This window comes from Homo sapiens, chromosome 6 (assembly GCF_000001405.40).
Source record: "Homo sapiens chromosome 6, GRCh38.p14 Primary Assembly".
Taxonomy (NCBI): domain Eukaryota; kingdom Metazoa; phylum Chordata; class Mammalia; order Primates; family Hominidae; genus Homo; species Homo sapiens.
Genome location: NC_000006.12, coordinates 90,511,178 through 90,527,635, shown reverse-complemented (window position 1 = coordinate 90,527,635; position 16,458 = coordinate 90,511,178). Strand labels below are relative to the sequence as shown.

General features: G+C 33.9%; 1 protein-coding gene across 5 annotated transcripts in view; it reads left to right on the top strand.

Moving 5' to 3' along the window:
* MAP3K7 (mitogen-activated protein kinase kinase kinase 7) overlaps positions 1 to 14,057 on the top strand; it is a 73,494-nt gene extending 59,437 nt beyond the window's left edge. For 3 of the 5 annotated variants that reach the window (NM_003188.4, NM_145331.3, XM_006715553.4), the window contains 4 exons: positions 3,853 to 3,958; positions 8,317 to 8,378; positions 9,074 to 9,189; positions 10,955 to 14,057. In NM_003188.4, the coding sequence (NP_003179.1) occupies positions 3,853 to 3,958; positions 8,317 to 8,378; positions 9,074 to 9,189; positions 10,955 to 11,135 (465 nt within the window). In that variant the 3' untranslated portion in view covers positions 11,136 to 14,057. The remainder of the gene's footprint in view (positions 1 to 3,852; positions 3,959 to 8,316; positions 8,379 to 9,073; positions 9,190 to 10,954) is intronic. The other 2 variants (NM_145333.3, NM_145332.3) reach the window with 1 other exon arrangement.

The following is a 16,458-nucleotide window of genomic DNA, read 5'->3' as shown; positions in this document are numbered from 1 at the left end:
CATGTTCTGTCATATGTCATGTTTCCAGATATCATAAATACCTTTTATCTGATTAAGAAGTCCTCTTCCCACTGGGCACAGGGGCTCACACCTATAATCCCAGCACGTTAGGAGGCTGAGGCAGGAGGATCGCTTGAGCCCAGGAGTTCAAGACCAGCCTGCACAACACGGGCGAGACCCCGTCTCTACACAAATTTTTTTTAAAATTAGCCATGCATGGTGCCGTGAGCATGTGGTTCCAGCTACTGAGGAGGCTGAGGTGGGAGGATTACTTGAGCCCAGGAGGTCAAAGCTGCAGTGAGCTGTGTTGGTGCCATTGCACACCAGCCTGGGCAAGAGAACAAGACCCTGTCTCAAAAAAAAAAGAAAGAAAGAAAAAGAAATTCTCTTCTCATACATGGAATTTAAGTTTGTTAAATGTCTTTTTTATAAGTAGATGTTAAATGTTGTCAAATGCTTTTTCTGCATCTGTTGAGGTTTTGTCCTTTAATCTGTTGATGTGATTAATTTTATTAATGGAATTTCCTAATGTCAGATGAGTGACCTTTGCAGTCATTTGCAAAGTTGGATAAACTAAACTTTTTAAATGGTTTTTATTGCTTCTACACTGCCACATTATATTTGCTAATATAATTTTTAGAAATTTTGACTTTTGTGTCTTTTTATTTTTATTTTATTTTTTTGGAAGTGAGGTTCAGTTGTAACTTTCTTTCTCACACTGTCCTTACATATTGATTTTTACTGCCTTCACAGAATGGGTCAGAAAGTTTCTTCTTTCTTTGTTTAGGATAATTTAAGATTGGAAAAATCCTTATCTTGAATGTTTGATAGAACTTACCTGTAAAACCCTCCTCTGTGCTTGGTATTTTCTATAATGTATAGGAATTTTTGAAACTTTTTTTTAAAGAATGTGTTCATTTTTATAGTATTGTCTCCGATTTCAAAATACTATCTTTTACTATTTTTCATTTTGGGAGGCAAATTCTTTTTTTTAACTAAGTTAGATCTCTAGCTTATAAATTGTCAGTGTTTCTGGTTTTTTCATATATATATTTAGAATTAAATATTTTCCTTTAAATGCTCTTATAGTCACATCCCCAAGTATTAGCATGATTCACGTTAAAAGTCAGTTCAAGTACTTTCTAATGTCCCTTTTGTTTTCTTCTTTGACCAATGAGTTATTTAGAAGTGTTTTTCAAAACAAAAGATTTTTAAAGGTTTTGAAATCAGTATAAAAAGTAATTAAGTTATGATACTGAAATTTTTTTTAACTTTGAGATTTGCTTTATAGCTTAGTACATAATCAGTTTTCATTAGTGTCCCATGAATGCTTAAAAAGAATGTGTATTCTTCATTTGCTAGGCGTAAAGTCACTTATGTTTAGATTAAGCTTGTTTTTTATGGAGTTCAAGTTTTACTGTGTGTGTTTTGTTTTGTTTTTTTGGTCTCCTTTTATATAATTTACAGAAGAATATTAAAATATATTACTGTGGGGCTGGGCACAGTTGCTCACACCTGTAATCCCAGCACTTTGGGAGGCCAAGGTGGGAGGATTTCTTGAAGCCATTAGGTCAGCCTGGGCAACATAACAAGATCCCATCTCTACAAAAAGTTTAAAAATTAGCCAAGTGCAATATCATGTAACTGTAGTCCCAGCTACTCAGGAGGCTACTCAAGGAGGATCACTTGAGCCCAGGAGTTTGACGATACCTCCTTGAGCTTTTTTACTTTATGTGTTTATATGTACAGCATATAAATTTTGAATTGTTGGCCAGGCACAGTGGCTTATACCTGCAATCCCAGTGCTTTGGGAAACTGTGGAGGGAGGATCACTTGAGGCCAAGAGGTAGAGACCAGCCTGGGAACGTAGCAAGACCCTGGCTCTACAAAATATTTTAAAATTAACTGGGCATAGTTGTGTGTGCCTGTAGTCCCAGTTACTCGGGAGGCTGAGATGGAAGGATCGCTTGAGCCCAGGAGTTTGAGGGTACAGTGAGCCATGATGGTACCACTGCACTCCAGCCTGGGCAACAGAGCAAGACCCTGTCTTTAAAAACAAATCTCACTGTGATGGTGGATATGTCCTTTTTCCTTGCAGTTTTTTGATTTATCTATTTGTATGTACAGCATATAAATTTTGAATCGTTGGCCAGGCACAGTGGCTCATGCCTGTAATCCCAGCACTTAGGGAGACTGAGGCAAGAGGGTCACTTGGGGCCAGGAGATTGAGAGAAGCCTGGTCAACATAGTAAGACCCATTTCTACAAAAAAAAATTAGTTTTTAAAAAATAAATTTTGAATTGTTGTATTCTGAATTGAACCACTTATCATATTATCTCTTTCTCTAGTAATTTTTTGGACCCTAAAATACATTCTCTCTGATATTAATATAGGTACCTTATTTGGGGTAGTTTTTGCCTGGTTTTCTTTTTTTATCCTTTAACTTTCTGTTTTCTCTGTCTCTGTAAATTAGATATGTCTCTTATAAATAGCATTTAATTCATCCTGACAATCTGATTTTTTTTTAAATATCTTAACTGGAGAGTAATTCATTTACATTTATTGTGGTTACTGATAAGTTTGCTCTCTTATGTTTTATTTCTCTTTCTTTTCTTTCAAGTTTTGAGTTGAATAAATTTATTCTTCATTTTATTATTTTCTTTCTGGTTTGGGAGTTATATATTAATTACTACTTTTAGTAAATACCTTTGAAATTTTAACATTCATGCCCAACCTAGTAAAGATCTGTACCCTCATCCTGAACAATATTTAAAACAAGGAGTTTTAAGTCAGTGCTTTTCATGCTTGTGCTATTGTTATTATAATTTTAGTGCCATCTTGTTTGTTTGATAATTCTATAAATTCACTGTTTCTGTCACTGAATGTTTTCAGTGTGTAGATTTATTTCCCTGTTTATCACTATTCCTTATTGCATCTTGATCCTTCTATCAAGTAAAATTTTTCTTCTTCCAAAAATACATGCTTGAAAAACTTATGTGGTAAGAATGTATGGAAGGTAAACTCAGTTTTTGCCCATCTAAGAATGTTATTTTGGCCTCTATCTTCAAATTTTGTTGGCTAGACAATTCTAGACTGGCAGTTATTTTTCAGCACTTTGAAGATATTGTTCTGCTTTCTTCTGGCTGCTTTTTCTGTCTCCTGTTGATTGTTTCCTAGAATTTGAATGTATACGTTCCATGTTGAACTCAATTTGTGAGCTTCCTCCTATTTCTTATGCTGGGGATTTGTTGTGGTTGGAATTTGTTGTAACCTGCATCCAATCTGGAAATTTTTTGTGGATTCACAGTTAATACATTTCTCCCTTCCACCCAGAGCCACTAACCCAAGAGAGACAAATTTGTTTCCTGTCTGCTTTTGTAGGTCAGATTTTTTTTTTCCTAGTTGAGTGACCTTTTCTCTGAGAGTGAAGCCTTTGCTGAGTTTTAGCTTTAAGCAGAGGTTTCTCCAGTCTTACTTCCATCCTACAAAGGCCCAAGGCTTTATGGTCCATTCCTCTGAGTGCAGCAGCCTGTGAAAACAGTAGCTCTAGGCCATTGGTGTTTAGTTGAAATTCCGAGGGCTGTCAGCTTAAGCACTTACTAGTTTCCTGATATTGTTTTGTTTCTAATCTCAGAGTATTTCTTAGTTTCTTGCAAGCTCATCAGTTTTTAATAGGTATCATGCGTGAGTGAATATAAATTTTTACATATATATAAGAGAGGATTTATTTTGTTGTTTACAAGAGTTTTGGGGGGATCTCTAAGTCTCTTCTTGCCTTTTAATGGAAACGTTCTCGTCATTTTTTTTAATCAAAAAATCACATTTTGTTTCTCCTGTGACTTCTTCCTGTAGGTGAGCAGTAGGTCATCCAGTCCCAGTGTCAGAATGATTACTACCTCAGGACCAACCTCAGAAAAGCCAACTCGAAGTCATCCATGGACCCCTGATGATTCCACAGGTGACCAGTCTGTTTCTTCATACTTATGAAGTTGAATCAGTCATGTTTATATTCATTTGGCCATGTCATTACTCTAATGTTTACAAAGGCAGGCATTATACTGTTGTTTAGATTTTTATATTAAATAAACTATTTAGTAATACATGTTAAAATACCATTTTGAATACAGAGACAGAGACTGCCTTGCCTTCTGTATTTTTTTTAATCCAGATACTAAACATGTATTTTAAAGATTGTCTGTTTGGGGTTTTTTTCCAGTTGCGAAGCGTATTGAATTCTTGATACTTCAGCCTGTGATTTTCCTACTAGATTCATCCTACTAGATGATAGTAGTAAAGTCATTTTTTCAGTAACCAAAATCGGAGAATGGTAAAAATCATCCCCATCATCTTCATCTCAATCTTTTAAGGACACGAGATGTCATGTACCTTAAGTTGAAAAAAATTCTGACCATTGACCTTTTGAATTGTTTTTAACTGATAAGAGACACCATTTTCAGTTATACAAATATTCTATTAGACCTTTAGAAACCTGTGATGAGTTATTAAAGCTCCCCAACATGAATAACTAACTGTTCACAATATTAGTATTAATGTCTACCTGCCTAAAGGTAGTGACGGCATCGTTTCATTATGGGCAAACAGGAAATGATGTGCCATAGTAGAATTAACTTTTCCCTAACTTTAAGAGAATACCTTGATAAATGCTTTTAAGTGTACTTATGAAATTTTTTATTTATATTATATTAAGTCACGAAGGGAAAGATGATCTCTTAGCCCTTGGAAAATTAAAGCATTTGATATTTTATATAAGATCGACTATGTTATTAATAGTAACAATTAGATTGAAGTTTAAAAGCCAGCTTTCTGTCTTTACAAACTAAAATACAACTCAAGTATTTATAGTTATCTGATGTGGTTTGGTCAAGTTTATAATTTAATTTAAAAAATTAACTGGGTGGTTTTTCTGTGTGTCATGTAAGATAGAACTATGTTTAGCCAGGGTGTACTCTCTAGTTTTAGTAAGTTTAAATTTAGTGGCGGCAAAAACTCCTGTTTCACCCCTAGCACAGCCCAACCTAGGACTGTCCAGAGCATTCACCACTACGCAGCACATGTGTAGAATTCATTATAGACTTGCTCCTCCCCAGTGGTAGACAGGGCAATGCTCTTGCCCAGTTTTATCATTAACATTCAGGTGATAGCAGCTCTTTTTGATTTCTGAACCCCCTGGCAAGGGAGTACGTTCTCTGACATTACAGCATTTGCCCGGGTCTGGTACTCAACTCAGCAGAGCCTTCTGTCTTCAGTCTACACTAATCTGTATATGCCAGTCAATAGTGTGGCAGATTGTGACTTCATGGGGGTAAAATAAAAAATGTTTAAGGCTCTCTCTCACATAACTGCTACATTTCTGCCTCATATGTTGCTTCTACCTTCCAACTCCCGTCCCATTGTTTTCTTTTTCTGTACCTAGAAACACCACAAAATACCAATTGCTAGAAATAATTTGCAATATCAGCTGAATTTTGTCTTTGCCTTGAAATATATTGCACATGTGTGGCTATAATTTTGAATACATTTTAAAAATGGATGCTCTGGTTTAAGTTTATAATTAATTCAGCTGTGCAGTATTTGTAAGAAAAATATTGATAACCAAGCTAATAGAATAAATTAGGGAACAGATAGGTAAAGTCTTTTTCTTTGAAGGCCCACTGACCAAGGAAAAAATTAAGAGTGTAAATGTAAGTTAAAGTGACCTAATTAAATTTTTTTAATTTGAGAGGTTTTTGTATATTTTCAGAGAAAGCTAAAGAGCATAACAATTTAATAATCATAGCCGATAATAAGCGCTCTTCAGTTCCTATTTATAATATAATGGGTATTCAAAAAGACACACATACTGAGAGGATCTAGTGAGAGAGAGATCTAGACGCAGTAGAGGGAGCCGCAGAGGGGGAAACTCACTAAAGAATTTTCACCTTTGCTTAGTACTTTGCAAACATGTATTAATATAAAGTGTAAGACATGGCCCATTCCTTGCAGTCTGGTTAGAGTCATAATACTGACACATTAAAAGTAAACTTATACTATATAATAACTTACTAAATTTATAGTACAAGCTGAGTGTTTTGATAGTTGTAAGAGAAATCAGTTCAACAAGACTTGGCATAGTCTCTGGCCTTTTCATAAAATGATGAGACTTTTCTTTAGCCATAAAGCAGAAAGGAGAAGGCAGCATTCCACTGAAGGGAATGCATACTCAAAGAATATGAGATAGTAACAAGTGTTGTGTTTGAGGGGTCAGAAAAGAGAGTTTGCCTTAATTTAACCAAACCAACATGAGCTTTGACATTCAGGAGAAGCAATTAGATTTGATTAGCAATTGAAACACACACACACACACACACACACACACACGCAAAAAACTTTCATTAAATAATCTTCCGATCTGTGACCAATTATTGCTAGTAGAGATTGGAAGTTCAATATCAATTTAGTGTAAAGTGAGAAAGTGAAATCCCACTTCTTTTTTTAGAGAGAAGATGAAATTCAATGAAGGACCTTAAGTTCCCCACCATACAAGGGCTTTAATTATTTGAATAACACAATCCTTGGACTTTTTTTCTGCTCCCAGAATACCACGCAACACTGATGTATTAAGCTTAATTCTAAAATACATATCAGATACAGGGTGCTGATATAATGAGATATATAATGTATCAGTGATTTAAGAAAGAATAATAGGAATGGAAATCTTAAATTGAAACTTTTTCAAGACACTTAAATTTTTCTAGTAAATCAGGAGGAAATCAGTCATTTTTAATCAGTTTTAGTTTTGTGGAAAGCAGTGTTTATGTGGGAGCGTAGTTTGAAACCACTGTTGGGGTGGGAGAAGAGTTGGTCAGAGAAATAACAAATTAAGTATATTTCTTGTTTAGCCACTTCAGAAAAACACACATTTATGTTAGTACTGTATATGAGCCTTAAGGGTAAGGGTAAGTGCCTTAAGTCTCTACTGTTTTTCTGTATTGCCCTGCAATATTTAATAAACATTACTTTTTCAATATGGAATTCATACTATACTATTTTAAATTGTTCTTTCTAATTCTCCATTTAGTATGAATAATAATGATAACTACCGTCATGTATTGAGTGCTTAATATACGCCAGGATTTGCATGGTGTTCCTCACATGCACTGGCTCATTTGGTCTGATTTCGCTAATTAGCTTTTGGAGTTTCTTGAGAGCACGTTCTCAGTGGCTTTAAAAAAACAAAAACAAAAGCAAAAAGAAAAAAAAACACCTGGATTATCAGTTGACAATAAATTAGAAGATTACTGAGCCAGCAACCCTTCTTGAGTTTTTTTGGATTGCATACAGTGCGTCTGCTGTCTTCCTGACTTGCCTTTATCCACACCACTCCTTCAAGGAGTTATTCGTCAGAAAAAGGCTGAAGAGCTCACTCATTTAGCTCTTTTTTTGTCTACTAACAGTGGGAAAGCAACTACTTCTGAAGTAGAAAAGTCTGTATTGCTTCAGAGTTACTCTGTTTACTTCTGGAACTGTTCTACATAACCATAAATGTTGAGAAGAGACTGTCCCACGCATCTCAGTCAAGTTGTATGGCAGTTTTACCTCTTTTGAAATATAAACAAAAGCATTCTATTCAAATAATTTTATAAAATTGACTGATTGTTTGAATTAATCAACTTAACTGTTTTCGGCATGACATTGAGCCACAGGTTTCAACCTCATTTTGGTTCCTTACTGTTCGTATTTGTAATATACTCTCATCACCAACATCTCGTTTTCTGCAGTGATTCTTACTGGGAAGGGCAGGATGAGTGGTGGAGGTCACATTATAATCTATATAAATTGAAAATGATCCACTGGAAGAGAATGTGTCTCTGCTTTCTCCCTTTCCCTGTTAAGGAACATTGATATTAGCGGAGTTGATATAGCCTTCTATAAAATAAACTTAGCATGATAAAGAAAAGAGATGGGGAGTTTGATTAGATAGGGTCAATTAAGACTGAATTTAAAATATAAAGGTCTCATCACTGTTTTTGTTTTTAATTAAGAGCTTAGAAGCTCTAATATATTGTGTTCTATTCAGTTTATAGCCAACTTAAATTATAGGTATGAGAATATAATTGCATTCTAATATCTGATAATTGAATATCCTTTTTTTAACCTTTAGAATTCAGAAATAGACTCTTCAATTACCAATAGCTGTAACTTTTAATTTACATATTATTTACTTTAGGGAAAAAAAGCATTTCATTCATGCTTTCTTGCTGTTCGTTTATAATTATTTGTGACAGAAAATCAATAAAATACATGCTTGAATTCCAGATACCAATGGATCAGATAACTCCATCCCAATGGCTTATCTTACACTGGATCACCAACTACAGGTAAAGGAGTACTTTCTTATTGAAAGTTGACTTTTTTCTTCTTAGAGAGTTTAAGTTGACAATTGTGTTGCTACCTGTCATTGTATAGTCACTCCTTAATTTATCCTTTTAGTTGGCCTCCTTAAACTTTTTAGAATCAAATCAAAATAATTCTTTTGGTTAAGTTAATCAAACTTTAAATTGGCAGAATCATATTCTTATCTTTTCAGTCATCTTAAAATCCTCCAGTATCTTTCTTTAGTACTGCTAAGCATTACATTTTCACTCTTTAATTTTAGTGCATTAAAACAAAACTCATAAGCTTATTTCTATTTAATACATTTGTGATACATTCTCATGTTCATAGTGACTGAAAATGTAAATAATATACTTCAGTGCCCCCTCATGAGTATGAGGGCTATAAACATCATTTAGTTTGAGCCTGTTTGCAGCCTGAAATGTCATACCAGAGACTACAACTCCAACAATCATGATTCTCTGTAACAGACTGTTAAAACAGCAAGAATAGATTTAAATGCTGAGTTAATTCTGACAAAAGGACACTGAGATTTTCTAGGGCATGGTTTAACACTTATTTTTAAAAGATCATTGCTTTAGTGCTATAAAAATATATCACAGTCTCTGTCTTGACTCTCATCTTAGCTAGATATTGAAATTTGATTTAATTATGTTTTAACATTCCTGATTATTTTCAGCCTCTAGCACCGTGCCCAAACTCCAAAGAATCTATGGCAGTGTTTGAACAGCATTGTAAAATGGCACAAGAATATATGAAAGTTCAAACAGAAATTGCATTGTTATTACAGAGAAAGTAAGTTATTTTTTATGAATAAAAATAAAAATACATTAGTATTTTGAGTTTAAAATATGATAAGGTGCAATGAAAACGTAGTTTTTAGAATTAGTCATTAAGTATACTTTCAACTTGTTTAAGCTTTAAGCACCCTTTTACTAAAAATTTTTTATGCAAAACTCAATCCTTTTGACTATCATATTAGTGCTATGGAAAATAAACTGGTGCTTTATACTTGTTGTTTTATGTTCTCAGAGCTGTTTAGACTTATTATTATAAAGATTTATTGTTTTCTTGTAAATAGATAAAATAATTTGATTTATTAACATTCAGTTGTGCCTTATCTTAGAAACATTTTTGTAGATACATTTTTTCCAGGTGTATGTTTAGAATTGGATTACTTATTAAAAGACTGTATTTCATAACTGAGTGTTTTTCTGAGGAGTTATAGAAACTGCCTTCCTCCCTTTTTAAAGAAACACAGCCTAATTTCCTTACTACTGCATTCACAGTTCTTAAATATGTATGTATCTTCAGTTTTCTTAAGCATGACCTCCATGAAATTTTATACTTAGGTAACTGAATTGTTGGTGGTAACTAAAATGAAGTGATAAGGAAAAAATTTTGGCAACTTTATATATGTATGATAATAGGATTCCCTTCATTAATTTTAATCTAAATAAATGAAAGTTGTTTTTTTCTGAATTTGCGAAAAGCTTTCTGTATGTACTTCAAAAAAAAGAGAGAAAAAATTGTTTTATCATAATTTATTGATACAGTGATTTAAATGGAACCAACCTGGTATTTGAAAGGTAAGCCTAAATAGGAAATTAAATACTACAGTTTGGAAATCGTAGAAGTAATTATCAAACTGCTGGCACTTTTATGTTGAAAAAGCTTGATTTCTTATTTCACTTATTTAACCTATACTTTTGCCATACTTTAATCATTTGAAAGAAGTATTCTATGCTGGAAAAAACAAATGGTGGATTAGGGTGTTGGCTGTGAAAACTATGACAGTTTTAATCAATTTTAAATACTTTCAGAAGTAGTATTAGTTAGTTATTTTGCTTGAGGACTTTTTATTAATTATTCATTTATATCCAGTAACCTCACTTTAGGAAATGCCTAAAGATGCATCTTTTTCGGGAATACTTAATAGTTCCCAAATAAGAGGGACTTAAATAAGTTTATCAGACTATAAAAGAATGAGGGTCTTTCCTGAAAGTGCTTGCAAATGTAAGTGTTTTAAAAGAAGTGGTACTTTGTCATTTTTCTCACTGCTTTAAAATGGGAAAAAGCTTTAAATTGGATAGCATTTATTTTAATTAGATTGCAAATTTGCTATTAGCTTACCACTCTCTGCTATAGTTAAGTAGGATTGTGACTTCAGAATGTGAATCAGTATAAAAGTAGAATGTGAAGGATAAAAACTTCATGATATTTTCCCATAGCCACATAGAACCCTTCCCAGCCTTTTTTCATCCTTCCTACACAAAAAGAGGATAGAAAATGAAATTTTCTGAAACTTTTATTTTACCATTTTATCTGCTTCGCTAATTATCCAAGTACAGTTACTTAATAAAAGGATTATGTTATTTGTATGATTACACTAGAAGTAGATGAGAGTTCCATCCCAGCCCATAATTATATTTGATTAGTGTACCTAAGATGCAAAATGATAAACCAAGAATAAAAATTCTCATTAATTGAGCTTCCATCATCAGCTACTAAGGTATGAATTTTTCCATCATGTGTAATATTATGTGGTATTTGTTTGTAGGCAAGAACTAGTTGCAGAACTGGACCAGGATGAAAAGGACCAGCAAAATACATCTCGCCTGGTACAGGAACATAAAAAGCTTTTAGATGAAAACAAAAGCCTTTCTACTTACTACCAGCAATGCAAAAAACAACTAGAGGTCATCAGAAGTCAGCAGCAGAAACGACAAGGCACTTCATGATTCTCTGGGACCGTTACATTTTGAAATATGCAAAGAAAGACTTTTTTTTTAAGGAAAGGAAAACCTTATAATGACGATTCATGAGTGTTAGCTTTTTGGCGTGTTCTGAATGCCAACTGCCTATATTTGCTGCATTTTTTTCATTGTTTATTTTCCTTTTCTCATGGTGGACATACAATTTTACTGTTTCATTGCATAACATGGTAGCATCTGTGACTTGAATGAGCAGCACTTTGCAACTTCAAAACAGATGCAGTGAACTGTGGCTGTATATGCATGCTCATTGTGTGAAGGCTAGCCTAACAGAACAGGAGGTATCAAACTAGCTGCTATGTGCAAACAGCGTCCATTTTTTCATATTAGAGGTGGAACCTCAAGAATGACTTTATTCTTGTATCTCATCTCAAAATATTAATAATTTTTTTCCCAAAAGATGGTATATACCAAGTTAAAGACAGGGTATTATAAATTTAGAGTGATTGGTGGTATATTACGGAAATACGGAACCTTTAGGGATAGTTCCGTGTAAGGGCTTTGATGCCAGCATCCTTGGATCAGTACTGAACTCAGTTCCATCCGTAAAATATGTAAAGGTAAGTGGCAGCTGCTCTATTTAATGAAAGCAGTTTTACCGGATTTTGTTAGACTAAAATTTGATTGTGATACATTGAACAAAATGGAACTCATTTTTTTTTAAGGAGTAAAGATTTTTAATTCTGTGATTGTGTGTATGTGTGTTGAAACTGTAAAGCTTTTATGACTCTAATATTAATCTCTTAAATGAAATTAAAAGGCAAAAGAACATGATTGAGCTTAAATGATCATTTCTTCCTGCAGTGATTCTTGGATTGTTTTCTCATGTATTTGAAAAAAAAAAAATGAAGAAAAATAATGGAAAATGGAAGTAATTACTCCAGCTAAAAAAAGCTTGGACTTAGATTTCTTTTTATGATACCAAATGAGAAATAAACCAGGCAAATCAGAAGGAAGTTAAAGAAGCAAATATAAATTCAACAAGTGTCCTAATTATCCTGGATATTGGAATATTTGATTTTCCTTACAATCCCGTTCTAGAATGCCTGCCGCCTTTCAACACTTTCAAGAGAATTTCAACACTTACAGAGTATTTATATTGTTAACAGTAATTTTGCTACCAAAACCTTCAGAATAACTTTAATAATAAAATGACACTGAAATAATAGACTATACAAACTCTATATTTTTTCAGTTGGTGTTAAAATAAGTCACATTTTGATACCAGTACAAGATGTCTTTTAAATAAGGATGTCATCAGTCTGATTTTTATAGCATTAATGTTTTATGAAGAAAAAGTTCAAAATGAAAGCATTAATTGCTGTGATTATTAGAATTCTATCATGACTGTATTGTAGTTTTTGCTCTATTTCAGATAAGCAAGATCTAAGAAGTTATCAAAACTATTCTTTAAAATGCTAAAGCAGGTAACTTTTTCTTCCATTATTTTTTCCTCCTACCACTGAGTTTTGTAATGAATTCCTTGTGTATACAAGCAATACAGGTGAATACTAAACTGTTATTTTTAGCTTCTTCAAAAGCTATTTTAGAAAGCTTCCTGGAAATAAATGTCTTCTGTCATTTAATTTAAATAAAAGGAGTGTTAATTGTTCCCAAATTTGATTACCTAGCTGAAACAGATATTGGATTCAGCATAGTAATAGTAAAATAAAATTGGCAGAGAAAATAACTGTAGACTAGGATAAAGCATGACTCCTCCATAGCATTGTTGCTTGTATGTACATCTGTCACTCCACTGAAAGGGACCTAGTCACTTTAAAGAGGCCTTTTATCTCAGCACGAGATATCCAAGCGTGAATGCTAAGGCTTGATGTTTCCATTAGGATTTAGCATTCGAGATTTCAGATTTTATTTATAGTCATTGATGTGTTTTGCTGTATTATAACACATTTAAGGGAAATTTTATTATGGTTTTTACATGTAGTCATTTCATAAAAATATCCAGATAGGTAAATGGAAGAAAATAGTAGATTTTAGTCATGGTACCAAATGCAAGAGGCTGTTGAACAGTTGCTTGTTTGTTTACAGTAAGTTCCTTGAGATTTTCAGTACTGTAGTTGCCCTGGACATTGAGTACAGTTCAGCCTTACTCTGTTTTTAAGTAGTTGTGTTGTCAATTTCATGCTTTTAAGTCCTGATGATCCTTGGAGATGGGAGAAAAAGATACCAGGGATAATTAAAATCCACAGCCAGTTTCATCAGTTTCCTCATCCATCCTGCAAATAAAAATGTTAACAAGGAGCCAAACTTATTCGTTCTGGTTTTACAATTTATTTTGACCGTTTTTTGGGTGAAAATTGCAAACAGCCAAGCAAGTGGCTGGAATGCCCCAGTCTAAGAAATTCAAAAACAATCACTGAGTAAGCCCTAATTACATTAATTACATTTTACTCTTGACTCCAGGAAAAGAAAGCAAGCTTTTATCTAATCTAGAGGGAAGTATTCGTGAGCAATAAAAATCACTTTTTTGAGTTGAATAATAATCAGTTAAGAATATTTACCGCATAGCAACACAACATATAAAGATTTGTTACAAGTTGTTTACGGATGTTTGACTATTTTTGCTGAAGTATTTTAGAGTATTGAATGTCTTCTCTCTTCAAGTTTCTTTCATGTTCCTAATTTCAGCTCCTGTAGCCAGAGATCACAGGTCTTCCCTGTGAAACTTTGGTTTCTTTCTATAAATGTGTGTGGTTTTCAGCGCTCAACTCCTGTCTTCAAATGGTAGTAAGTTCTACTTCTACTTCTGTCATTCAGAACATTTTATGTCAAATGATGTAATGCAGAAATTCTTGTGCATATTTGTAACTGAAGGAAGCTTTTTAGATTTATTTTTGTTTTTAATAAAATTCAGATTCCTATTCTAAACTGGTACATAAAAGTGGTGAATGACTTGTATCAGCAAATGAGCTGCGAAGTGTTCTGCTCTAGCACCGTGTTTACCTTACACAGAACCTACTAAAAACTGAAATGTCACTTTTGTACGATAATCATGGTTTTTAAGAGGCTGGGTAATTGGCCAGTTAACACATCATCTCTTGCATTTCAAAATTTTGTGTTAAATGGAGCTCTTCACAATTTCATGAGTCCTAATTTGTGTGAAGCACAACACGTCATACATTGCTAAGTGATTCTTCTCATCAGAAAGCTGATTTCTTAGAGTATTTCTAAGTTAAATTAGGTATTTCATTCCTTTATCAACCTGCTGGCTTTCCAACCCTAACATATGCACACATTCTTATAAACTCTACCTTCATTTTAGTAAATCCATCCATTCATTTGCTCATTCTTTTAATAAATATTTGTTTATCATATATTATAAACTGCACTGCTATTACCAATACCAAGTTACATGTCCATTCCAGTCACACAGTAGTTTGATGGTATTCCCATCTTACAGATGGGAAAATAGGCTCCTAAAGGTTAAGACTTCTGCCTGAGTCTGCTTTTCCATCATCATCTGTTTCAGGCAGAATCTCATGCATGGGGACACTGTGGCCACTATTAGTCCATGATGCGAAGAAGAGCATAGGAAAAATCTTAGATTGAATGGCAAACAGAGGAATAGAACGAGATAACTTATAACTAGAAGATGCAGGGGCTTTGTGACCGCTCTGTAGATAGCAACAAAGCCAACATGGAGACCCACCCCCATGTCTTTTAAAACCCAAGTCTATGATCTAAACAAATTTGCCATGCTGTAATTTTAAATGCTCTCCAAATTCTGAGGTGATTTAGCTTTCACATTGACTTATTTGGCAGGTGGGAGATCTGCATTGTTTTAAATTGGGGTATAATTCATATATGATAAACTGCATCCAGTTTTTTAAAATGCAGATATCCTACCTGCCAAATAAGTCAGTGTGAAAGCTAAATCACCTCAGAATTTGGTGAGCATTTAAGTAAAAGTGTGCTGCTTACAGAGTTTTGACTTATGTATTCACTTGTGAAACCACCCCAGCAGTCAACATCCTCAGTATGTCTACCAGCCCCAAAAGTACCCTCCTGCCCCTTGCAATTGAGCCCTTCTCTCACCCCAGTCCCCAGACAACCACTGATCTGCTTTCTAACAATATGGATTAGTTTGCATTTTCTACAGTTTTACATAAATGAAATCCTAAAATATGTACACTTTACTTCTTAAGCCTTTTCCCCCACTTGAATAGTTTTTGTAATTCCTTTGAGAGGAATTTTAAGTTTTCTGTTGTTTTTCTTTTCTTTATTTTTTTAAGTTGCAGCTGCTTTCTGCTTGCTCAAAATCCCAGCAAAGACTAGGTTGGTTGTTATGCCACAGAACAATTGGCAAAACAATATTTTCAGTAACAGTGAAGATAGTCTTTGTAAAAATGTTTGACACTATCTCATACAGATGCTGTCAGTGGTCCTTCCTGATATGGTGGTGCACGCAGAAATAATATTTGCATTGGCAGATCATGTAACACTTAACACCAGGCTCTATGCTCCTTTTCCATCCATGACTAGACACTGGTCTTGGAGGTTCTGACACCCCCTGCCGTGCATTTCCACCAAAATGGAACGTCAGTTTAAATGACCTGCCCATCTGTTACTTTAGGCAGCCTTTAAATCAGTAGGTTCTATGTTATGCATAACTTGAGTCTTCCAAAATACATAAGACCACTTTTAAATGAAGCTTTTTTGAGAAATGAATGGCTATTTAACTGTATTTGAGTGTCATGGTACTTTCAAATTTCCAAGTCATGAAAGGCATTACTTTTCCTTTAATTTAATGGTTAATGATATCTTATCAGTGCCATGTAGCAGCAGGATCATTGCTTTGAAAGCACCAGAAATTACTGAGTAAATGCTGGATATTTATATTCTGAAAAGCAAAAGTAACTTACAAAATGCAGTTACTTTTCAGACTTGTTGCGTGTTTCTATTTGTGGATACCTCTTCTTTAGTTATTACTGGAATGATTACATTAATCATCGATTGGCTCATTTACTAAATTCAGACTAGAGACTGAAGAAACCTGAAACTGGGTGTAACTTTGGTTGTAGAATTAATGGTGGTATTCCCTCATCACATGCTCTAGAACCATTTTGGCTTTTAATCAGTTTCCTACAAAGGTCCTTAACTAAATATCCATCTAAAATGTGATAGACATCTTACTTAGAAAAATTGGCACCACTCTTGTTCCTTTTGCATGTACCATGAAAATATTATCTAAGCTGCATATGAAATGGATGAATTATATGCTTACAAAGCAGATCTACTTCTGTACATTGGGGCCATGATACTATTAGTA